The sequence below is a fragment of the Homo sapiens genome, chromosome 5 (assembly GCF_000001405.40).
Source record: "Homo sapiens chromosome 5, GRCh38.p14 Primary Assembly".
Classification (NCBI taxonomy): Eukaryota; Metazoa; Chordata; class Mammalia; order Primates; family Hominidae; genus Homo; species Homo sapiens.
The window spans coordinates 151,759,215-151,783,748 of NC_000005.10; the positions used below are offsets into that span (position 1 = coordinate 151,759,215).

Sequence of the window (24,534 nt, forward strand, 5' to 3'; positions counted from 1 at the left end):
GGGTATCAACATAGGAATTTGCGGGGACACAATTCATGTCCATGTCAGAGTTCAGTCCCTAGCAGAGCCATACTGACTAGAGTTTTAATCTCAGCCCTATCATTTATTAGCCATGTGACCCTGGGCAGATGAACTTACCTCTCTAAGCCTCAATATCCTCACGTATAAGATGGGGACAGTTAAGGTCACTATACAATTTTTTATCTGAACCTTTTGCTAGAGAAAGGAGATGCTATTAATAATTTTGCCAGGACAACAGGCAAACACCATGACTGTTTCAGGCAAACAACGACACATGGTTCCCTCCAAGAAACCTACTTTGCAGTATTGTTGGAATACATGTAATGTGTGCAAACTTCTTAATACATTGCTTGGCACATGGTAGGCACCAAAAATATATATAAGTATTCTCTAATTGCTAGGCCCTCTGTTGGCCTCCCTGGCACTGGGTCTTCCGCTGCTCACAAAATACCCCTTAACCATTCATCCCCTACCCAACCTGCCAGGAATTCCCTAAAGATGGAAGGGAAGGGGGCGAGGAGGAGAGGGAAAGAGGGTACTGGCACATTAGGTCCTGTACGGGCAAGGCTTAGCATCTTGGTAGTCCTGGGTACAACTGTGCCCTGGGGCTAGGGATAGCTAGATTGCCATGAGGGAAGGCGGAGAGTGGACATGAGGGAAGGAAATCCTTCCCAAAGCAACAGTACACAGGGCGAACCACCCACGGCATGTTTTAGAGAATTAGGGGTATGGGTTGGGGGGATGGCTAAGCCTAGAGACAGCAATTTAAAGAGAAGACAGCTTTATAAAGATCTGTTAAAGATCACAAATAAAGACCTATTAAAGAGGAGAAGAAAATATGCCAGACTGTAGTTCCTGCATAAATATATACATACATTCCGTGTATTTACATTAAAATAAGCATGAAATGAACCACAGCCAATGTTACTAGAAGTTATCTTGGATAAGTGTAGGATTTGCAGGTGGAATCCCAATGTACCTACTGTTTAATTTTCAAATAACACAAAGTAGCGTACAGTGAAAAGTAGGTCTTCCTCCTACCCTGACCTCTCCTTCTTAAACAAAAGGCATAGTATACACAGTTTTGCATCCTGCTTTTCTCACTTTATAAAATATCTTAGAGATTATTCCTGGGCCAGATGCAGTGGCTCATACCTGTAATCGCATTGCTTTGAGAGGCCTAAGTGGGAGGATCACTTGAGCCCAGGAGTTTGAGACCAGACTAAGAAACATGGTGAAACCCTGGCTCTACAAAAAATACAAAAATTAGCCGGGTGTGGTGGCATATGCCTGTGGTCCCAGCTACTCAGGAGACTGAGGTGGGAGCATCACTTGAGCTCAGGAGGTCAAGGCTGCATTGAGCCATAAGTACACCACTGCACTCCAGCCTGGGTGACAGAATATGACCCTGTATTTAAAAAAAAAAAAAAAAAAAGATTATTCCTTAATAGTACATATCAACCCTTTTCTTTCTTAGCTTTTTTTTTTTTTTTCCCCGAGATGGAGTCTTGCTCTGTCGCCCAGGCTGGAGTGCAGTGACGTGATCTTGGCTCACTGCAACGTCCGCCTCCTGGGTTCAAGCAACTCTCCTGCCTCAGCCTCCCAAGTAGCTGGGATTATAGGCGCCCACCACCATGCCCGGCTAATTTTTGTATTTTTAGTATTTTTAGTAGAGACAGAGTTTCACCATGTTGGCCAGGCTGGTCTCGAATTCCTGACCTCGTGATCTGCCCACTTTGGCCTCCCAAAGTGCTGGGATTACAGGCAATGAGCCATCACTAAGCCAGTGAGCCTGGGAAATGGGCATATAGAATCCCTGCTTTCTGGCTGAAAGTGTTGTTGCAAGGATAGGAATGTGCACACTGTAGGCATGTATAGATGGTGGGTTCTTCCTGGTGTAATCTACTTCTAGACCCAGCCTCCTGGGATGACCCTTTCTTTGACAGATGCTGAGGAGTTTAATTCTTTGCAAAGAAAGGTTTTGTAGCTGCTGCCTGCTCCCCGATATCCCCACCGCAGGAAACCAAGTGTCTGTTTTTTGTATCATAACACAGGTATACACCACTTGCCTCACTGCTTTATCCACCAACGGACCCTTTATCTGGGACCAAAGATTCTGAGCTGAAAGGGCCCTCAGAGCAGCCAAGGCATGCATGAGAAGAGAAGGGCTATGAAGTGGAAGCTGAGGGAGCGTGGACTGCAGGCTTGGGAGAGGGAGCATGGTGTCCTGCAGAGCCACATGCTGGCAGAACTGGGTCTACAGACACATTTTATTCAGTCCCTAAAGTATTCAAAATATTTTTTGATTAGTTGACAACAGTTAAGAACTCTGAGTATGCTTGTACAACATTGTGAATATATTTAATGCCACTGAATTATACACTTAAAAATGGTTAGAAAGAGGAATTTTATGTTCTGTATGTTTTACCACAATTAAAAATAGGGCATGGTGGCTCATGCTTGTAATCCCAACACTTTAGGAGTCCCAGGCAGGAGAATTGCTTCAAGTCCAGCCTGGCAATATAGCGAGATTTTGTCTCTACAAAAAATTTAAAAATTAGTTGGACATGGTGTTGTGCACCTGTAGTCCCAGCTACTTGGGAGGCGGAGGTGGGAAGATCACTTGAGCCCAGGAGGTCAAGGCTGCACTGAGCCGTGATCGTGCCACCACACTCCAGCCTGTGTGACAGAGCAAGACCCTGTCTCAAAATAAAAATAAATAAATAAATTTATTTATTTCTAGACTGACATGTAAAATTAGTTGCTTTCTTATTACAAGACTAGGAAAAGCATTTTTAAAAATAAAAATTCTAAATAGTTTTTAATTTTTATTTTTTGAGACAGGGTCTTGCTGTGTCACCTAGGCTGGAGTGCAGTAGCGTGAACATGGCACACTGCAGCTGTGACCTCCTGGGCTCAAGGGATCCCCTGACCTCAGCCTCCTGAGTAGCTGGGACCACAGGTGCATGTCCCCACACCCAGCTATTTTTTTGTATGTTTTTGTAGAGATGGGGTCTTGGCATGTTGATCAGGTTGCTCTCATAAGCAATCCTCCTGCCTCGGCCTCTCAAAGTGCTGGGATTACAGGCGTGAACCACCGCACCTGGCCTAAATAAGTTTTTAAAAAGGGTGATGGGCGGGTGCAGTGGCTCACGCCTGTAATCCCAGCACTTTGGGAGGCAGAGGCAGGCAGATTACTTGAGGTCAGGAGTTCAAGACCAACCTGGCCAACATGGCGAAACCCCGTCTCTACTAAAAGTACAAAAATTAGCTGGGCATTGTGGTGGGTGCCTGTAGTCCCAGCTACTTGGGAGGCTGAGGCAGGAGAATCGCTTGAACCCCGGAGGTGGAGGTTGCAGTGAGCCGAGATCGCGCCACTGCACTCAAGCCTGGGCAACAGAGCGAAACTCTGTCTCAATAATAATAATGATAATAAAAAGGGTGAAACCTATTCAGTTAAAGTCCTCAGAATATTTCCATTGTATTTTTTAGGCAAGACCAAAAGTTTTCGTACTATCAGTAAATGTTTTAAAAAAAGAACATTGAGTCACATAACCTAGAGTTTTAATATTTCCTGAAAAACTGAAAGATCTGGAAACATGTCTATGACTGACAGGATAGGCCAAGTAATATTGTAGTAACAAACAATCCCAAAGCCTCAATGGCTTAAAATGACGAAGATTTATCTCTCCTGTGATATGCCCATAACTGGCTGAGTGGGTTGAAGCTGGAGGAGTGGCTCTGTGCAAATTGGTTTTGCTCAAGCACCTGGTTTGAGGAAGAGTCACCATATAGAATGGCACTGATCTGAAAGTGTCCCACCAAAATTCGTATGTTGAAACCTAATTGCCAATGTGATAGTATTAAGAAGTGGGGCCTTTGGGAAGTGATTAAGTAATGAGGGAAGAACCCTCATGGAAGGGATTAGAGAATTTATAAAAGATGTTGAAGGGAGTACCGTAAGCCTTTTTTGCCCTTCTGCCATGTGAGGGGACAGTGATCATCTTAGAAGCCATCATAGTCCCCAGCACTCTTTAGTGGACTCCCAACATAGCAGCCAATGGTCAGGGAACATCTGCCATGCTCTCCTCTTCCTCCTTTGTTCTCTGTACCCCTGGGGCTTCAGGTTTCTAAAGATGTGTTTAATGAGACAACCCAGACAAACCTGCGTTCAGTTCCTTGCTGTTTCAGGCATTTAATCTCTCTGACTCTGTCTCTTCTCTTGTAAAATAAAGATAATAATTAGACGTAGCTCATCGTGCTGTGGTGAGCAGTATGAAAAGTTTCTTTTTTTTTTTTTTTTTTTTTTTGAGATGGAGTCTTGCTCTGTTGCTCAGGCTGGAGTGTATTGGCATGATCTTGGCTCACTGCAACTACCATCTCCTGAGTTCAAGTTATTCTCCTGCCTCAGCGTCCTGAGAAGCTAAGATTACAGGCATGCGCCACCAGGCCCAGCTAATTTTTTTCTTTTTTTTTTTTTTTGTATTTTTAGTAGAGATGGGGTTTCACCATGGTGATCAGGCTGGTCTCAAACTCCTGACCTCAAATGATCCACCCACTTTGGCCTCCCAAAGTGCTGGGATTACAGGCATGAGCTACCACATCTGGGGAAAATTTCTTAATGTAAAAAACTTTCAAAACAATACATATAAAATGAAAATCTCTTAAAAACCCTTATATCACTCTCTTCCGCAGAAGTAGCAATGCTATCAGATTGCTGTATAATCCATCCTGACTTTTTAAATGCATTTACAAACATTAATAAACATACGTGAATGGATAGTTGGTGTATATATATATATATATATATATATATATTTTTTTTTTTTTTTTTTTTTTTTTTTTTTTTTTGAGATGGAGTTTTGCCCTGTTGCCCAAGCAGGAGTGCAGTGGTGCGATCTTGGCTCACTGCAACCTCTGCCTCCTGGGTTCAAGCAATTCTCTTGCCTCAGCCTCCTGAGTAGCTGGGACTACAGGCATGTACCACCATGGCTGGCTAATTTTTGTATTTTTAGTAGAAATGGGGCTTCACCATGTTGCCCAGGCTGGTCTTGAACTCCTGATCTTGTGATCCACCCGCCTCAGCCTCCCAAAGTGCTGGGATTACAGGCGTGAGCCACCGCACCTGGCCAGTTGTTGGTATTTTTAAAGCATATATGATATACTATACATAATTTGCAAGACACTTTTTAAAATTATCAATCTGCTTTGGAAATGTGTGTTTTTTATATATAAATATTTTAAAAATATTTGAATATAAACACACATATATGCACATATATGAACTAGCTCAATCTTTTAAATTGCTACAAAAATTTTTCTAGTATGGATATATTACAGTAAATTTAGCTATTCCATAAAAAACAGACTATTTTGCCATATTATAAACAATGCTATAATAATATTTTTGCTCTCTGTATACATGTGGGAGTGTTTCTTCAAAGTAGATACCAAAAAGTAGAATTTCTGCATCATAGGGTGTGTGGATTTTAAATTTTACTAGATGCTAGCAAACTACCCTCAGAAAGGCTATGCTAATTTATATTTTGTGCTAGCAGTATATGAGAGTAATTATTTCTCACACCCTTGCCAACATTTGGTATTGGCAAAGTATCATTTTTCTTTTTCTTTTCATCACTGAATGTCTATCTATTAAATGCTGATGGAGGTAAGGATAAGACTCATTCATATGCCAAGTGCCTGGCACATAATAGCTACTCTGAACACACAATACCCACAGTTTATTATATAAATCCAAGCCTGAAAAGTCAAAATTTCCATTCATGCTATTATTAATTGGCAAACAAAAAAAGCTCTTAGTTTTTGGAACACAGGTTTGAATCTTGTTTTATCCACATTGTGTAACTGGGGACCTTAATGGTTTAGTTTCTGTACTCCTTCAGTGTTACTGTAAAACTTCCAAGCATTTGTTGAGACACTACATAGCTAGGTCTTGTTGCTTTACAACCTTGGGATGTAGCAGTCAACATTCAGCATAGGTCAAAATTCTTAGGCAGGGTTGTATAGGGTAATTACCCAGGAGGCTTTCTAAAGCTGAAGTCTGTATTACCCTCCACCTCCAGTGTAGTCTATCAGTATAAAGAGTGTAGTTTATCACATATTATAAACTTGATATTTATATCAAGTATTATAAACTTGATAACTTCAGTTCCTAAAGTATTCAAAATATTTTTTGATTAGTTGACAACAGTTAAGAACTCTGAGTATGCTTGTACAACATTGTGAATATACTTAATGCCACTGAATTATACACTTAAAAATGGTTAGAAAGAGGAATTTTATGTTCTGTATGTTTTACCACAATTAAAAATTGGACATGGTGGCTCTATTAAGTTTATAATACTTGATAATTATCAAGTTTATACGTAACTTGGACAAAGCATCTGCTCTGATCCTTCCTCCTGCCACCCCACTTCAGCTTTCAACACTGTACCATGAGGTGCCTTCTTGTTGGCATCAGGATTGTCCAAGATCTCACATCAGGCAACGGTGGCAGGCAAAACCAGCCTGTGTCATGGCAGAATAGGTTAAAAGCCAACATTACAAAACTGAGACCATTTTTGCAGAGCACATTCCCAAACTATGGGCAAGACCAACAGCAGTAAAGTCAGCTTTTTATTGAACACATTATAAAACAGGTTTAGTAAAAAGACCAAAGCCCATGTCATCATCAGACTCCTCAGATTCTTCTTTCTTTGCTTCCATTTTCTTCTCCTCAGCTGAAGCAGCAGCAATGGAGGGGGCAGGACCTCCTGCTGGTGCAGCACCAGCTGCTAGAGCAGGTCCACCAGCCCCTACATTGCAGATGAGGCTTCCAATGTTGACGTTGGCCAGGGCCTTTCCAAACAAGCCAGGCCAAAAGGTTCAACATTTACACTGGCTGCTTTAATGAGGGTATTGATATTAACCTCCATGATGATCACCTCGTCATCGTGCAGAATGAGGGCCAAGTAGACACAGGCAAGCTCGGAGATGGAGGCCATGGCGCGGGCGAGTGTGGGGCTGACATTGCCAGAGGTGGTGCTAGTCACTGGATGAAGTGATGGCCTCACCCCAATGTGGCCTTAGCTTCCTCGGAAGGACCAAGCACCTTGGTGGCAACTGAGGAAAGGGCAAAGTATCATTTTTCACAATGTCATGATTGAACAATTATTTAACTTCTTTTTGCTTTGGTTTCCCTATCTGTTGAAATGAGCTGTTTGAAGATTAGATTAGTTTTTTTTTTTTTTAAGACAGTCTCATTCACTCTGTCACCCAGGCTGGAGTGCAGCGGCACAATCTCAGCTCACTGCAAACTTCACCCCCTGGGTTCAAGCGATTCTCCTGCCTCAGCCTCCTGAGTAGCTGGGATTACAGGCATGCATCACCACACCCGGTATTTTTTGTATTTTTAGTAGAGACGGGGTTGTACCATGTTGGCCAGGCTAGTGTTGAACTCCTGGCCTCAAGTGATCTGCCCAACTCGGCCTCCCAAAGTGCTGGGATTACAGGCCTGAGCCACTGGGCCTGGCCTTAGATGAGGTCTTATGTATATTTTATTCTTGTTTCTTTTTTCCTTATTGGGCTTTGAATTCCAAGTGACATAAACCTGAGTCTGATTCTGAGCTCTGCCCCCTTCCAGCTATAGGCCAGTCATTTAGCCTTTCTGAGCCATAGTTTCTACATCTGTAAAAGAGTTAATACTTCATAGAGTTTTTGTAAGGATGACTTGAAAAACTGTAACTAGCACTGTGACTGTCACATAATGGGTGCTTGATATATATGCTATTTATTCCTCTTCTAAGCCACAGAAAGTGAGGACTTCTAATATGTGGTACCAGAGTGTGCAGCAAAGAACCTTCTGCAAAGAGCTTTGGCTGCAGATGTTCAAGATTTGCCATGGACTCCAGAACTCTCAAATCACTTGGAAATTTGTCTATGCAGCATTATCTGGTGTCATGCCTGAGATATTGAAGGAAAAGCCCCAGCCTTTCAGGGGTTTCTGAGAAGAATATGCCCCTTTTCTGTATTCATAACTGTATCTTCTTTCTCTGGGCAGTATTGAGAGTGGGTAAAAGAACATGGACTTGAAGTCAGAGAGTCCCAGCTTCTAGCCCTAGCTATGTGACCAAGGGCAAGTTGTTTCCCTCTCTGAGCCTGTTTTCATACTTGAGAAATAGGAAATAGGGATGTTGTGAATATTAAATGAGATCGTTCTTGGAAAGAATATTAGCAAGGTACCTGGCGCACGGTCAGTGCTCCACAGAGTCTGAGGAGGTGATGTATTTGCCAAGAGACAATGCCAAAGAAGGGAGGAATGCAATTAGGCATGTCTTTCTAAGCCAGTAAAGGGCCTCTTTGGATCTTTGTATGATTTTATTTTATTTATTTATTTTAATTTTATTTTATTTATTTATTTTTTGAGGTGGAGTCCTGCTCTGTCGCCCAGGCTGGAGTGCAGTAGCACAATCTTGGCTCACTGCAACCTCTGCCTCCCAGGTTCTAGCAATTCTCCTGCCTCAGCCTCCCGAGTAGCTGCAACTGATTACAGGCACCTGGCTAATTTTTGTATTTTTAGTAGAAGTGGGGTTTCACCATGTTGGGCAGGCTGGTCTCAAACTCCTGGCCTCAAGTGATCCATCCGCATCAGCCCCCCTAAGTGCTGGGATTACAGGCATGAGCCACCACACCTGGCTTGGATCTTTGTATGATCTTTGCATGGTAAGGAGCAAAAGGCAAAGAGGTTAGCAGTTTTTGGGGAGGTGAATTAAAACGTGGATACCTCATTTTCAAAACCTCTTGTAAGGCTGGGTGAAGTGGCTCACGCCTGTAATCCCAGCACTTTGGGAGGTTGAGGTTGGAGGATTGCTTGAGCCCAGGAGTTCAAGACCAGTCTGGGCAACACAGTGATACCTTATCGCTACAAAAATTTAAAAAATTAGGTGGGCTTGGTGATACATACCTGTGGTCCCAGCTACTTGGGAAGCTGAGGTAGGAGGATCACTTGAACCCAGGAGGTTGAGACTGAAGTAAACTGTGATCTTGCTAGTGCACTCCAGCCTGGGTGACAGAGCGAGACCTTGTCTCAAAAACAAGAAAACCCCCCCAAAACACCCCTCTCATATACCTACCTACAAGGCCTAATGTATTACATCCCTTTTGTTTTAAAGATCAAAATTTCTATATTATAGTTCCTCATATCACTATTAAAATCTATACCTAACACTAATTAAAATAATAATATGGGCATTTCTATTTTTTTTAAAATCACACAGCCAGGCATGGTGGCTCACACCTATAATCCCAGCACTTTGGGAGGCTAAGGCAGGAGCACTACTTGAGGCCAGGAATTTGACATCAACCTGGGCAACAAACTGAGACCCTGTCTCTACAAAAAAAAAATTAGCTATGTACAATGATGCAGGCCTGTAGCTACTGGGGAGGCTGAAGCGAGAAAATTGCTTGAGCCCAGCAGCTCGGGGTCACAGTGAGCTATGATTGTGCCACTGAACTCCTGCTGGGTGACAGAGTGAGACCCTGTCTCAAAAAAAAAAAAAAAAAATCACACAGTACTATAGGGTACACAGTGAAAACTAAGACTCTCTGCTGTCCTAGACAAAGTTCGTCTCCCTTAGCAATCATTAATATTCATTAACATTTTCTTGTGACTCCTTCCAGACATAACCTGTGCATGTATAACAGCAAAAACATATGGGAACAAATGTGTAGTGCAGATAACTAAAGCAATACATATGTCTTAATGGACATAATCACCCCATGATATCCCTCTTCCTTTATTATACAAACCCAGGAATACTTTTCCCATTATTCTGCACTTTGCTTCCTTCATTTACTGATATCTCTTGGCGACTGCTCTATAACTATACAAGTAGATCTACCCCATTTTCTGTATGGCTGCATGACAGTCTACTGTAAGTATACTGTTTTGCAGTGCTCTATCTAACCAGTTTCATTCAGCCAGATATTTCGGTTGTTTTCTGGCTCTTTCTACTACAAACAATTCTGCAATGACTATTAGTAACTCTGCAGAGTTTTCTTTTTTTTTTTTAAAGACGAAATTCTTTTTCTTTTTTTTTTTTTTTTGAGACAGAGTCTTACTTTGGTGCCCAAGCTGGAGTGCAGATCTCCGCTTGCCGCAACCTCTGCCTTCTGAGCTCAAGTGATTTTCCCACCTCAGCCTCCCAAAGTGCCGGGATTACAGGCGTGTGCCACCACATCCGGCTAGTTTTTGAATTTGTTTTGTAGAGACGGGGTTTCGCATGTTGCTCAGGCTGGTCGCGCAAACTCCTGACCTCAGGTGATCCACCCACCTCGTCCTCCCAAAATGCTGGGATTACATGCGTGAGCTACCGCGCCCGGCATGCTGCATAATATTCTATATTACGTGTATATCACTGTTAAAACAGCTTATCAATTGATGAACATTAAGTGTTCGGGTTTTAAATCTTCTAGCAATGCTGACAAAGCTGCAGTGAAAGTCTTGGCACATGCCTTTGTAAACAAATGTGGCTATCAACCAAGTGACATTATTGTTTTGGGGGATATGCACAATTTTATTAGATTTTTAAATTGCTGCTGGGCGCGGTGGCTCACGCCTGTTAATCTCAGCACTTTGCGAGGTCGAGGCAGGTGGATCACCTGAGGTCAGGAGTTCGAGACCAGCCTGGCCAACATGGTGAAACCCCGTCTCTACTAAAAATACAAAAAAATTAGCAGATCCTGGTGGCGCGCGCCTGTAATCCCAGCTACTAGGGAGGCTGAGGCAGGAGAATCGCTTGAACTCAGGAAGGCGGAGGTTGCAGTGAGCCGAGATCACGGCATTCCACTCCAGCCAGGGCGACAGAACGACGCTCCGTCTCAAAAAAAAAAAAAAAATTGCTTGGCAAAAAGATCTGTATCACTTAAAACTCCCTCCAAAAGTGAAGGGTAGCCATGTCCCTCATCGCGAGTCACCTGGGTTAAATTACTAATCTGTAAATGTTAAATTTCGCCAATCTTCTTAGTGTTTCAATTCGGAGAGTCATGTTGTGAAATGCCAATCTCTTAGTCCACCTTTTAAAAAACTTTGCAGGGGTTCTCCAAGGCCCTCAGAATAAAGTCCAGATTCCTTTGCAGAGCTAACAGGATACAGGAGACTCCCTGCTCCAGGAAACTTCTAGGGGCTTCTCTCCTGGGGCCTGTTCCCTGGTTTTGGGAGCGCTCGGGCGACCGCGAGCCAGAGCAGCGTCTCGCTCATCTCGGACCCAGGCCTGGGGCTCCACTGACGCCGACGGAGCCGGGCTGCTGCGGGAGTGGAGCCCTGGGGGACCAGAAGGGGCTTTCACTTCGCTCCTGGGCCTCCCGAGTTCCAGGCTCGGGCTAGCCCCGCGCAGGGAGGCGAGCGGGCCCGGCTCCCCAGAGGCCGAGGCCGGCGCCCGTGCTCCTTCAGCTCGGCCTCTCTCCCCCGACATAGGCGCTCCACATGCTTCATTTCCAAAATTCTCAGCAAAACTCCGCGGGAGACCCTGGTCACATGCCTGGAACGAGAACAAACCGGGGCGTGTCTGTGCCGGACGGCTGGGAACCAAAGCTATTTCCATAGAAATAGGGCCGGCCAGCCTTGAGTTGTAGCCCCGCCAGTGCCTGAAACGCCAGGAGGAGGGGACGAGTTGCCTTTTAAAGGCGTAGCGACGAGAATAAGCCCCCACCCGCGGCAATTCGAGGCTGAACAATAGTGGTGCAGCTCGGGACGTGGTGCGAGGGCCCACACTCCACTGGAGCACGCGCGGACCACCGTGCCTCAGCTGCCACAAAGGGAGCCTCGCCACACGCCCGCGGCCGCCTCGCAGCGCCCGCCAAGAAGCGCCTGGCGGAAGGGCGCACTCTCAGGCCTTCCACCGGCGACCTTCCGGCGGGAGCCTGCGGGCGGCGCAGGAACGACCCTCCTTCCTCTGCCCCGCAGCAGTGCTGAGTAATGGTGAGAGCAGCAAGGCCCTTGGCCGCCGCACGTAAGAAAAAAGTTGTAATAAAAAGAAAACAACCCGGGAAACTTTACTAGTTGGTTCGCCAGGTACAAACCTATGCGGAAAAGGCGGGGTACAGGCCTCGGAGGCCGGACCCAACCAGTCAGGGAAAGAAAGAGGGCAGAAGCCGCAGGCTGCACAGCCTCACAACCGCCCAGAGGGCACGGCGGCCCTGGGGCTCGGTCTCTTCCGAGCAGAGCAACCTCCGTGTCTATCAGCTCCTTCCGGCGTTGCGATTGGCCACAGGCTGTCTTGGCCTCTCGGACGCCCGCCTCCTAGTTGCTAGGGGTTTACTTCCCCAAAGTACACGGGCCCCACCTTGTGGCGCAACCGCTCCTGCATGGAAAACGGATCTCCGCCCAGGGGAAGACGTGTTAACGAATAAGAGCAGCCCCACACATTTATTGGCTACTTTGAGTATCAGTCAAAGAACTGCTCACTCGCCTTTCTATTGTACTTTTCGGTTATTGGTCTCTCTTAGTGCCGATCTGTTACTAGGGAAACGAGATCCTCACAGTCTCATAGGCAGGAGTCAAAGCCAATCAAGAGCCACGCCTTCATCCCCGAGTCAGTGCCCAATTACTGTTCGAAGAGCCCTGAGGACGCGGTCGGGATTGGTCATCCCGTCGCCCGACCTGGCCGCAACAAGTTAGGGTGAGTGGCAGTTATATAGACCGGCGGCGGAGCACGCGTGTGTGCGGACGCAGTTGCGTGAGGGGTTTGTACTATCCTCGGTGCTGTGGTGCAGAGCTAGTTCCTCTCCAGCTCAGCCGCGTAGGTACGCCGGGGTGTGGGCGGGGCAGGGAGGCCAGAGGACTAAGCCGAGCCGCAGCACTTGTGAGAGGGAGAAGTCTGAGTGGCGCTCGCGGCGGCCGCGCCAGTCGCGTCCCCCACCCCAACCCCCACCCCAACGGCCGCAGGCGCGCGCGGCGGACGGACGGGCGCGCGGCGGCTCCTCGCTCCCGCTCCCGTCCCGGCTGGGGCGCGTGGCCGTGTCCGCCGCGTGCGCGTGCTGCGTCCAACGGCCTCGCGGGGCAGGAGTAAGCCGCGGCCGCCGCCTGGGCCCCAGGGCGGTCTCTGGGGCCAGGGGTCCCGCGCCCAGCGTTTCCCGCCCGCCACCCTCTCCGCCACGCGCCCGCGGCACCTTTTCCTCCCCTGGCCAAGGGATCCAGTCGGTTCGGACCAGAAGGAGGCTTTCGTTTAGGGTGGGGGCAGCACTAAAGTCTGATTGGAGTCTTGCGGTCCGCGCGTCGCAGAAGCGCCTTCGGTTTTGCAGAGAGCAAAGAGGGAGCAGCGAGTGCACGGAGTGGTAGTAACAACCAATGTTCTTTCCACGCCCTCACTGTGTGTCCGGCACTGTGCGGAGCCACTTTTCTGCCTTTCATTTGATTCTTGCAGTGAGCTGGCGAGGTGGGTACGGCTATCCTCCTTCCTTAGCGGCCCAAGGCACGGGTTTGGAGAGCGGGGTCACAGGCACGCACGGGAAGGGCGGGGATTTGTTGACGCCGGGCCCTCTGACTCCGAGCTCCCCGCTTCCCAAGCCTGTTTTTAGTCTTTGCCCCCAGAGCACTTGTCCCTCGGGGCAGCATCAGCCTCAAAAGGCCACCTGCCGAGAAGGCTGCAGCGGCATTTGTACTTGGGCTAGTTCTGGGCTTCCAGGGAGACAAGGGTTGGAAGTGGGAATGTGACAAAGGAAAAGGGTTTGGGCTTCCTTTCTACGTGTACTTGTACAGGCCCTGGGTAGATGTGCCGCCACCGTAGCTTCTGGAAAAAAGTAGGGAAAACGATGAGTAAGTGCAAATGAACATGGACTGTGTTCCTCATCGGGTTTGAATCTCAGATTGCTGATGGGAAATTCCCGCCAGCGGGAAGTTAGGCTCCGGTTTTAGACGTTGAATTTTTTTTTCTCTACTTTTTTTTTAATTGGAGGAGACTTTTGCAGAAAGACCTTGAGAAGATTCACTTTATAGTTGAAGGGAATGAGGTGCAAAGCGACGAATTTAAGATCTCACTAGCATCTGTGGGTTAAAATACGGAATTGGAATAGAAAGGTTGGCGCCCAGTTACAGTATACTATTTGGACCTCTGTGGAGCGTGTCATGCTGGATGAATTACTGGTGTTGGAGATGTGTTGGAAAAAACAACTGTGACAGTCGAGATCTGTGGATGAAAGTTTGTGTACACTCCGTTTATTTAGCATTTACTCTGCTGGGTTCTTGTGTATATGCAGAAACAAGATGCTTTTCTTCAGGGACTGGAGCTTATATTTTTCTAGTAGTTACCATCTTTTAGATTATTTAAAAGCCAACATACTCCTTGGCTTAGTGAAATAAATCTTCTATGTTATAGAAACACTTCTATAAACATAAAGATTTCTATAATCGTGTTCTGGAAACCCTTTCTATAAACATGTTTCTATAACAGTATTATAATAATGTTCCAAGTAACATTTACTTGGAACTTTGCTGGTGTGGCGATTCCGGTTACTTGCCCTTACAGACTGGTTAACTATGGAATTAGCATTTTAACTTAGACTTAAAGTTGAGCAATTTAAGTTGTCAAATGGAAAAACACTAGAATGACCTACATTTAAACTGTTTAAGCTTGAGTCCAGCTAATTTTATTACTGCTTGAGGCAAAATAGAATGAAATTACCTTACACATTATTGAGGGAAAATTTCGTTAGTTTCTACTTAAAATATTAAAAAAATACAGTTCTTGGCCTCAGGCAAATGGTTATCACTTGGGCAGGAACATGAAAATTACGTGATTATTTCACAAACTGGTGCTCTAACTGATTACTTGTGCATTTATCAGGAACAAGTGAATTGAAGCAAATTGTGGTAATGTAAGGCTTGGCAAGGCTGCCCTACATCCCTACCAAGTCATACGTCAGTTTTGTTGGAGCTGCTTACCGGTACAAAAGTCTAAGCTTTTGTACCTCTTACAGGTAGAAAAGTAGACAGTTCTTTGTTTAACTCAGTTTGCTGTTCCTGAGCTGACACTGCACCAGGGGAACATTAGGAGATTTTGGTAATGTTTGTTTGTGACCTACTTAGAGCAGTTTTTCTTTTGTAACTTATGGTTTTTTTTTTTCCCACTCGTTCTAGTATTTTGCATAGAAAGTGAACGGCAGAAGGCAGTTTTAAGTTTTTGTAAAAGTTTGTGAATTTTATATCGTCCTTAGGACTGATGGGGCTAGTGTTAAAAGATAAAATTTAACATAAAGCTTACATTTGTGACTAAAGCCAATTTTATATTTTTTTTCTTTATTTTTGTCAGTCTGATAAAACTGCCCACTTGGTCTTTTAACATTTTGCAAATTGATTTTTTTTTTAACTTTCAGAATTTAAATAGGCATTGTATGTTTGTTTAATTATATTGTGCTTTGGCTTCCTTGGACGAAACTATTACTGACTTTACAAAGAAGAATGGATAATTGTGGAAGTAGGTAGGTCAAAAAAAAAAAGGAAAGCCTCGCCCGCCCCCCAGTAATTTGTCAAAAGCAAGTGGGAAAAATCTCTGGTAGTGCAGTACTGCCCTTCCAGTACTCCAGTACAAGCCCTGGAGTTGAATTTAGATTCAGCAACTATTATCTTACATGTAGTTGGTGATCACAATGTGGTGGCACACTAGGTTTATAATTTTATATCTCAGAAATCAGCTATTTACTTTTTTTAAAAAAGTATTCTTGGACATCCTGTCTGTCTTTAGTTGGGAAGGTCAAGTTGCAAGCCAGGTGATAGGGTTAAGAGTAGGAATAATTCACACACACGAATAGTGTCTTAATATTCTGTCTTACAAGGTGGAAAGCAATTTCAAAAAAATTGCCCTCACAGCCTGTAGCTTAGTAAATAAGGTCTTTAGGCGACTTTGTGATAGAGTCCCTCTTCTGTCAGGTGGCCAGTCTGTCATGTAATAAGTTCTTGGTATGTGTGTTGTATCTTAGGTACTTAATCAAAAGTAAAGATTAAAGATGATTGACAGAAATTTGGCTTCCTGGATGGTATACACATCTACTTAGTAGGGATGTAATCTTTGGTGGCTATTAACTTCACTGGCTATATAAAGCATCATTATGTATTTGTGTAACCTTTTGCATATTTAGAGAGTGCTTTCACACATCTTTGGTATTACCATACTTTTACTAAAAAGTGAATTGGAGCTCTGAAACCGAATTGTCAAAACTATTTTGAAAAGCATGTGGTACCTAATAGGGTACTATAGCCAGCTTATTTCCTTAATTGAAAAATCTTAGAGGGATTTTGAATCTGGAATGTATGAATGTGACACCTGCCTGCCCTTGCAGGCTTCTCCCATATGCTGTTTATGCAAAGCCATAGGCTGTGCCTTAAGTACACCCTTGTTTCTGCACTGAGGTTGCCTAGATTTCCCTGGAGTGTATCCACCTGTCTTGATCTGTTTAAGAATTTTGCGGATGAGCATTAGTATTAACTGTAACATATCTTTTCACGTGATGAGAAAGAACAAAGATTTTTTTAAATTGTGAACCTGAGTAGGTTTTAACTTTGGAGTGGGGAAGGGATACACTAAGATAAAAGATAGTTGTTAAGTATTCTGATTCCTGAAGTTTTTTTTCTTTCAGGAAAACAGTATTTTTGAGATAAAGTAAGATTTGTGGAAGAGTTGCAATAGAGAGGTCTTGAATACCCATTATCCACTGTTAACATCTTATGTAATCCAAGTACATTTAACAGAACTGAGAAATTAACATCGATAAAATACTGTTAATGAAAGACTTTATTTGGATTTCCTTAGTTTTTCTACTAATGTCCTTTTTCTGTTCTAGGATCCAGTCCAAGATGCCACATTGTATGTAGTCTCCTGATCTGTGTCAGTTTCTGTCTTTCCTTTTGTCTTTCGTGACCATGACACTTGATCTCATTTGGATTTGATGTTAAGGATTAGACTGAAGTTACAGATTTTTGGGGGAAGAATACCACAGAAATTACCCTTATCACATCAGATTGGGGGTCCATAATATATAACTGGTTGAATTTAACCTGATGATTTGGTTCAGGTGGTATCTGTCAGGTTAGTGTTTTTTTCCCCTTTAGATACTATTCCTTAGATGCTAGTCACCAAGTCCAGCTCACACTCAAGGAGAGAGGGGAATTAGGCTCTACTTTCTAGAGGGAGGAGAATGTGAATTTGTGGAAGTATATTAAAGCTACTGTTATTATTTTGGGGGAGATGCTTCGAAGCCATGGAAATAAAGTTCCCCTCCTTAATTTTAGCATTTTAATGGATCTCGTCTGCAGCTATTATTACTTCGGGGTTCTAATGGTGATTTTTTTTATTTTCCTCATTCCTTCTACAGTATAAATTTTCTGTGAGGAAGATTTGTGTATTCTTCATGTTTTTTCTTTTTTTCATTTATATCACTATAGACCACGGATATTAATTTTATTCTTTGGGTTGTAATCCACAATTATCCTTGCTGATGTTTACTTATTTTTGATTATTATTTATTTTATATTTTTATAAAATATCGTCCAGGCTGTCTCACACTCCTGGGCTCAAGCAATCCTCTTGTCTTGGCCTCTCAAAGTGCTGGGATTACAGGTGTGAGCCACTGTGCTGGCCACAGTTTATTTTGTTGTTCATGTTGTTCCAGCTTTTTTTTTTTTTTTTGGCTCCTTTGTCCTTTTGACACTTCCCTATCTTATCTGTTTTTTAAAAGCATGTTTTTTCTTTCATTAATTACCAGGTATTTCAGGCTCATCTTGCATTTTGCCTGTCTCAGGTCCAGAATCAACCATTTCTCCAAGGAGGCGTCAGGAAGAATTGTGAAGGGAGGTGACAGGTGGTAAATGCGAAGAGTTTGGAAAAATAGATTGACAGTAGGCCCAGTGATGTTGATACTTTTCTTGCTCTGAGCACAGATGTTGGCTTCTGTATTCATGTTACTCCAGTTCTGGGAAAAGATTTTGTTTCTAAATTCCCACGATTTAGAGAACCAGATATCAAATGTTTGAATACATGACATAATCCTGAAACAAAATTTACAAAAATTTAATATATTCTCAAGTTAGTACACACAAACACTTGCTGTTTTTCCTTGGTGTTTTTGACAACTTTTTTAAAGTAAAAAGACCACTTAAATACTATCGTACTCAGAATTAACATTTGACATTTTGCATTGCCCTCTAAGACTCCTTTTTTTCTATACGGGCTTCCATTCCCTTCCTTCCAGGGATCTTTTTCACATCTTTCCAGGCTGTTTTATTGATGGGGAATTTTTAAAAATAGCTTTATTGAGGTATAATTGACAATAAACTGCATGTTTTTAAAATGTACTGCCTGATAATTTCAGACACCTTTTGTAATCCCAGCTTCTCAAAAGACTGAGGCAGCAGAGAGGATTACTTGAGCCCAGATGTTTGAGGCTGCAGTGACCTATGGTCATGCTACTGCACTCCAGCCTGGGCGACACAGGAGACTCTTAAAAGAAGGTATACCCATGAAACCATCACCACAATCAAGATTGTGAACCTATCCATTACCCCCAAAAGTTTTCTCATGTCCCTTTTCCCTCTTTCTTGCTTGTTCCTTCCACCCTTCTCCCTGCAGGAAATCCTTGATCTTTTTATCACTGTAGATTACTTTGCGTTTTTTAGAATTTTTTTGTAAATACATTATGTTCTTTTTTTAATTGCTCAGTGCTAGTCTGTTGTGTAGGCATATCACAATTTTTTGGTTTACCTGTTGGTGGGCATTGAAAAACGGCAGAAGCTGTGTGTTTCCAGCTTTTTGACTGTTACAAATAAAGCTTCTGAACTTTGTGTACAAGTCTTTGTATGGGTATACGCCTTTATTTCTCTTGGGTAAATGCTTAATAGGGGAATGTTTAGATCATGTAGTAGATGTATGCCTAACTTTTAAAGAAACTCCCTGTTTTCCACAGTGGTTGTACCATTTTACATTGCCACCAGCGATGTTTGGGGGGTTCCAGTTCTGCCAGTATGTTGGCTAACAGTGTGTATGGTCAGTCTTTTTAATTTTAGTCATTGTGACAGGTGTTTAGTGGTACCTCACAGGTTTTAATTTGCATTTCTGTAATTGCTAGTGATCAGCATTTTTCATTTGGCATTCATATAATTTCTTTGGCGAAATATCTTTAAGTCTTTTGCTCATATTTTATGGGATTGGTTACTTAATTATTAATTTTTTTGTTTTGAGACAGTGTTTCGCTCTTGTTGCCCGGGCTGGAGTGCAGTGGCGCCATCTCTGCTCACTACAACCTCTGCCTCCTGGGTTTAGGTGATTCTCCTGTCTCAGCCTCCTGAGTAGCTGGGATTACAGGTATCCACCACCACACCCGGCTAATTTTTGTATTTTTAGTAGAGATGGGGTTTCACCATGTTGGCCAAGCTAGTCTCGAACTACTGACTTCGGGTGATATGCCCTCCTCGGCCTCCCAAAGTGCTGGGATTACAGGCATGAGAGTACTTTATATATTCTGGATAGAGGTATTTTAAAAATTAGAGATATGGGTCAGGCGCAGTGGCTCACACCTGTAATCCCAGCACTTTGGGAGGCCGAGGCAGGTGGATCACTTGAGGCCAGGGGTTCGAGACCAGCCTGGGCAACATGGTGAACCCTCATCTCTACTAAAAATACAAAAATTAGTCGGGCGTGGTGGTGTGTGCTTGTAATCCCAGCTGCTTGAGAAACTGAGGCATGAGAATTGCTTGAACCTGGGAGGTGGAGGTTGCGGTGAGCGCCACTGCACTCCAGCCTGGGCGACAGTGGAAGATTCCTTCTAAAAAAAAAAAAATCAGTCAGTCAATCAATCAGGTAAATGCCTTGCAAATATTTACTCCTAATCTGTGGCTTGCCTGCGTGCCTTTTCATTCTTTTGATGGTGTCTTTGCAGGGCAGATGGTTTTAATTTTGAGGCAGTCTACGTGATCAATTCGCTTTCTTCTTCATTTGCTTTTGGTGTGTCTAAAATCTTTGCTTAGTGTCATGCAAGTTTTCTTTAGAAGTTCAGTTTTGGGTTTTACACTTTGATTACACTGAATCATTTTGAGTTAAATTTTGTATGTGGTGTGAGACATGAATTGAGGTTCTGGTTTTTTTTTGTTTTTTCCATATGATATCTAATTGTTTCAGTACCAGTTGTTGAAGAGAGTATACTTTTTCCACTGAATTGTCTTTGCACTTTTCTTGGAAATATAGTTGTCCATGTGGATATGTTAGTGAACTCCATTCTGTTTCATGGATCCATTTGTCTCTTTATGTCTAGCCTGTGTATCTATGTACGGTATCTGGTATTTGTGTATACTAAAAACACTTTTAAATATATGTAACGTTATCACACAGTACATATTTGGCAACTGATTTTTCTTTTTAATAATGTTTTTGAGTTATGTGCTCGCTTTCTGGCAGGCATAAATAGGGTGACATATGTCTTGGTTTGCCAGGGACAGTCCTGATTCACTTCAGTTAACCTGACACTATTAATAGTAGTTGTTTTCAATCTTAAAAGTGCTCTCATATGGTTGTCTTAGGTATAGAAGTTTCCCTAATGTGAATAAACCACAACTTAATATCCATTCCTTATTTGATGGACATGTAGATTGTTATCAATGTTATACTTTACAGATAGGGTGGCAGTTATTTGTTTTTGTCTTGTGTGAGTTTGTTTTGTCTTGGGTGAGTTTCTTTTGTATATGTACCTAGAAGAGAACTGCTAGATTTTCATCAGAGTGTTTTTGATTTTATTAGATAGTGCAAAATTGTTCTCCACTGTGGTTGTACCAGTTGAGACTTCATCTTCAGCAGTCCTGTAGGCTCTTTTTTTTACTTGGTTGCCAATGTTTGGTGTTGACTGAGATTTTAATACTTTGGCGCATCTCTTGTAAGGTATCTCCTGTGAGAAGTGATTTTATTAATTGCATTTTCCTGGTTACTTACTCTGTTTTGTTTGCTGTCCATTTAGTACTTTCCTGAGAATTGGCTGCTCCATTTCATTTGCCTGTTTTTCTCTTGGGTTACTCTTTTAGTGATTTGTATGCAGGTTTATATACATTCTACTAATCTTTTATTATATGATATTATATTTTCTTACTATAAAACTGGCACTGAAAATGGGCTATGAAGGCATTTGGCTACTTTTTATTTTGTTGGAGTGAGCTTTGCCATTAAAAATGCAGGTGGAGTATGGGCTGCCTTTATGTTTCCCTGCCCGTCTGTTAAAAATTGGAGGATAATGCTCATAGTTATTTCCCCCTCCGCCGCTAGCTGATGGAGTCTTGCTCATTCGCCTAGGCTGGAGTGCGGTGGTGCGATCTTGGCTCATTGCAAGAGCTCCGCCTCCCGGGTTCACTCTGTTCTCCTGCCTCAGCCTCCTGAGTTGCTGGGACTACAGGCGCCCACCACCATGCCTGGCCAGTTTTTTTGTATTTTTAGTAGAGACGGGGTTTTACCGCATTAGCCAGGATGGTCTCTATCTCCTGGCCTCATGATCGCCCACCTTGGCTTCCTAAAGTGCTGGGATTACAGGTGTGAGCCACCGCGCCTGGCTGATAATGCTCATAGTTCTTTAGACCCTTAACATTTTTCTGTTAACTTCAGCACAATTATTGATGGGGAGTTTCTTTGAAGTTGCTTTGCAATCTGGAAACTTGGGATCAAGTGGAAAATTTGAAAGTTAATGTAGTACAGTTGAACCATGAACAAACGTGGGTATGAACTGCTCAGGTCCACTTGAGCAGATTTTTTTCAATGAATATATTGGAAAATTTTTTTTGGAGATTTGTAACAATTTGAAAAAGCTCACAAACTGAATAGCCTAGAAATAATAAAAAAAATTAAGAAAAAGGTATTTCATGAATGCATAAAATATATGTGGATACTGTTATTTACTACTGTAAAATATACACAAGTCTATTACAGATTTATTACAGAGTTAAAATTTATCAAAATGAACCCACACAAACACTTTGAGACCATTCAGGGCACCATTTGCAGTCAAGAGAAATGTAAACAAATGTAAAGATACAGTATTAAGTTATAACTGCATAAAATGAACTTTAGTATATACTGTACTATAATTTTTTTCCTAGCCACCTCCTGTAAATATTGCAATGTGCTTGTGTTGCAAGTATCTGCTTACAACACTGTGTGATGCTAATCATCTTTATGTGAGCAGTTCTTCTCTCCAGTAAATTTGGATGCAGTAAAAAGTGATTTCTCTTCAATGAGTAGTTTTCATCATGTTTAGTACAATACTGAAAGCCTTGAATAACACCATGGGACCCATACGAAATATCACTAATGATGCTGAAAGCACTCCCAAGAAACAGAAAAGTTATGACATTACAAGGAAATATTAAATTGCTTGATCTGTACCATAGGTTGAGGTGTGCAGCTGTGGTTACCTGTCATTTCAGAGAGACGATTTGTCTTTTAAACAGACAGCATAAACATATACAATACTGAAAATGTATTTTGCAAATGATTTTCTTATTTTCTTTAGCTTTATTGTAAGAATACAGTATATAACCTACAAATAGTTAAATGATTGGTTATATTATTGGTAAAGCTTCTGATCACCAGTGTGCTATTAGTAGTTAAAATTTTGAGGAGTCAAGTTATACACAGATTTTCAACTCTGGGCTATCCATGCCCCTAATTCTCACCTTGTTGAAGGCTCAACTGTAGTTCATCCAAAAGGTAGATACAGTTTTATGTTAAATGCTTGGGATTTTTTTTTTTAACTCCTTTAGGAAATTCTCCATTTTAATCTCTAGGAAAATAAGGAAAATATCCATCCAGGTGACACAAGAGAGTGGGATGTAGAAATGGTTTTCTTCTTTATAGTTAATAATTTTGATACTGATAGTAATAATAGCTAACATTTATTTCCTGCTTACTGTTAGGCACTTAATTGTTATAATTCTGATTTTAATTTTACAGACAGAAGAATTGAGGTGAGAGAGATTAAGTTACTAGCTCAAGGTCACAGCAAGTGAATGGTGTTGGAGAAGTTTCCCTAGTGAGAGTTGGTTAAATAAATTTTGGGGGTTTCCTTTTGTTGTCTTTGAAATGTTTATTCACTATTTAAAAATAACACTCAGTTTTAAAGTTCATTTGTCATATTTTACTCATGTTAAAGGTAGCCTTTGACAACTCTCAAACTTTGTCTTAAATTTGGATGGTTCAGTTAGAACTGGTAAACTCAAGGTCATGTTTAATAATATCTTTCTAGATCTTACTGGTATCAGTGTATATCATTCTTAAGAATATTATTTATATTTCAACATCCATTGGTGTATGCTGTTATATTAGGAACAGCCAAAGTCCATAGTTGTAGAAATTTTAAAAACATCTTTAGAAAAGGACTTAGTGTGCTGAGAGTGTTTATAAATGAGGGAGAATCTTGGAAATTTTTAGCATATATTTTCTTTTTTTTCCCCTCTGATATTAGCATGTGTTTTCATTGATAATGCATACATTTTTTAAAAAAATTATTCCCCCCCAGAGGTAATTCATAGATTTCATAAAATATCTGTCACAGTGGATTAGTAACTGGCAAAACACTGTCTTTTCTGTGACTCATCTTTTTTTTTTTTTTTTTTTTTTTTTTGAGATGGACTCTCGCTCTGTCGCCCAGGCTGGAGTGCAGTGGCGTGATCTCGGCTCACTGCAACCTCCGTCTGCTAGGTTCAAGCGATTCTCCTGCCTCAGCCTCCTGAGTAGCTGGGATTACAGGCGCACGCCACCATGCTTGGCTAATTTTTTGTATTTTTATTAGAGGCGGGGTTTCGCCATGTTGGTCAGGCTGGTGTTGAACTCCTGACCTCGTGATCCGCCTGCCTTGGTGTCCCAAAGTGCTGGGGTTACAAGCGTGAGCCACTGCACCCAGCCTTTCTGTGACTAATCTGTTTAAATTTGCTTACTTTAATTATTTTTAGATTTGATAGAATTGAGAGAGTGAGAATTCTTTCTCAAGAGGTATTATGTTCACATTTCTCATAGCTTGTGTTTTATTTTTGGTCCAGAAAAGATGAAGATTTCAGAGAGATGACAATTTTTTAGGATTTATTACACTATATAGATTCAAATTGCCAAAATTTACATTTTCTTTCTTTTTTTTTGCTGTGAATGATCAAATAAACAGATTTTTTTTTTTTTGTAAGGCAGAGTCTTGCTCTGTCACCCAAGGTGGAGTGCAGTGGTGTAATCTTGGCTCGCTGCAACCTCTGCCTCCCAGGTTCAAGTGATTCTCGTGCTTCAGCCTCCTGAGTTTGCCACCATGCCTGGCTAATTTTTTGTATTTTTAGGAGAGACAGGGTTTCACCATGTTGGCCAGGCTCATCTCAAACTCCTGGCCTCAAGTGATCTGTCCCTGTTGGCCTCCCAAAGTGCTGGGATTACAGGCGCCAGCCCCAATTTTTTTTTTTTAACTGAGAATAACAAAATTACTCGCTAAACTTTCAGTGTGTGATCTTTGATCAGT

General features: G+C 42.4%; 1 protein-coding gene, 1 long non-coding RNA gene and 1 pseudogene across 4 annotated transcripts in view, besides 5 other annotated features; 1 reads left to right on the top strand and 2 right to left on the bottom strand.

The window, feature by feature from the left end:
• Nucleotides 1-6,445: 6,445 nt before the first annotated feature.
• RPLP1P6 (ribosomal protein lateral stalk subunit P1 pseudogene 6) lies at nt 6,446-7,155 on the bottom strand (annotated as a pseudogene).
• On the bottom strand, nt 10,579-12,962 carry LOC100652758 (uncharacterized). 2 transcript variants are annotated; one of them, NR_132345.1, is made up of 2 exons: nt 12,489-12,962; nt 10,579-11,558 (listed from the first exon to the last, which is right to left on the bottom strand). It is a non-coding gene; the product is annotated as an uncharacterized LOC100652758 (long non-coding RNA). The 2 variants fall into 2 exon arrangements; NR_132346.1 differs by lacking the exon at nt 12,489-12,962 and adding an exon at nt 12,100-12,294.
• Nucleotides 10,827-11,548: an enhancer, noted in NCBI's record as "NANOG-H3K27ac-H3K4me1 hESC enhancer chr5:151149602-151150323 (GRCh37/hg19 assembly coordinates)". NCBI's record gives its function as "activates a minimal SCP1, AML or CMV promoter by ChIP-STARR-seq in naive H9 embryonic stem cells {active_cell/tissue: H9 hESC(naive)}" and the evidence as "EXISTENCE:reporter gene assay evidence [ECO:0000049][PMID:30033119]".
• Nucleotides 11,927-12,156: an enhancer, noted in NCBI's record as "active region_23468". NCBI's record gives its function as "activates an Ori minimal core promoter by ATAC-STARR-seq in GM12878 lymphoblastoid cells {active_cell/tissue: GM12878}" and the evidence as "EXISTENCE:reporter gene assay evidence [ECO:0000049][PMID:35858748]".
• Nucleotides 12,414-12,708: an enhancer, noted in NCBI's record as "tiled region #5918; HepG2 Activating DNase unmatched - State 1:Tss, and K562 Activating DNase unmatched - State 1:Tss". NCBI's record gives its function as "activates a minimal TATA promoter and a strong SV40 promoter by Sharpr-MPRA in HepG2 and K562 cells {active_cell/tissue: HepG2 | K562}" and the evidence as "EXISTENCE:reporter gene assay evidence [ECO:0000049][PMID:27701403]".
• The window catches only part of G3BP1 (G3BP stress granule assembly factor 1), a 40,832-nt gene continuing 29,037 nt past the window's right edge, over nt 12,740-24,534 (top strand). For both annotated transcript variants that reach the window (NM_005754.3, NM_198395.2), the window contains exon 1: nt 12,740-12,822. The gene's annotated coding sequence lies outside the window, so the exon portion shown is untranslated. The remainder of the gene's footprint in view (nt 12,823-24,534) is intronic.
• Nucleotides 12,917-13,246: a silencer, noted in NCBI's record as "silent region_16528". NCBI's record gives its function as "represses an Ori minimal core promoter by ATAC-STARR-seq in GM12878 lymphoblastoid cells {active_cell/tissue: GM12878}" and the evidence as "EXISTENCE:reporter gene assay evidence [ECO:0000049][PMID:35858748]".
• Nucleotides 13,297-13,366: a silencer, noted in NCBI's record as "silent region_16529". NCBI's record gives its function as "represses an Ori minimal core promoter by ATAC-STARR-seq in GM12878 lymphoblastoid cells {active_cell/tissue: GM12878}" and the evidence as "EXISTENCE:reporter gene assay evidence [ECO:0000049][PMID:35858748]".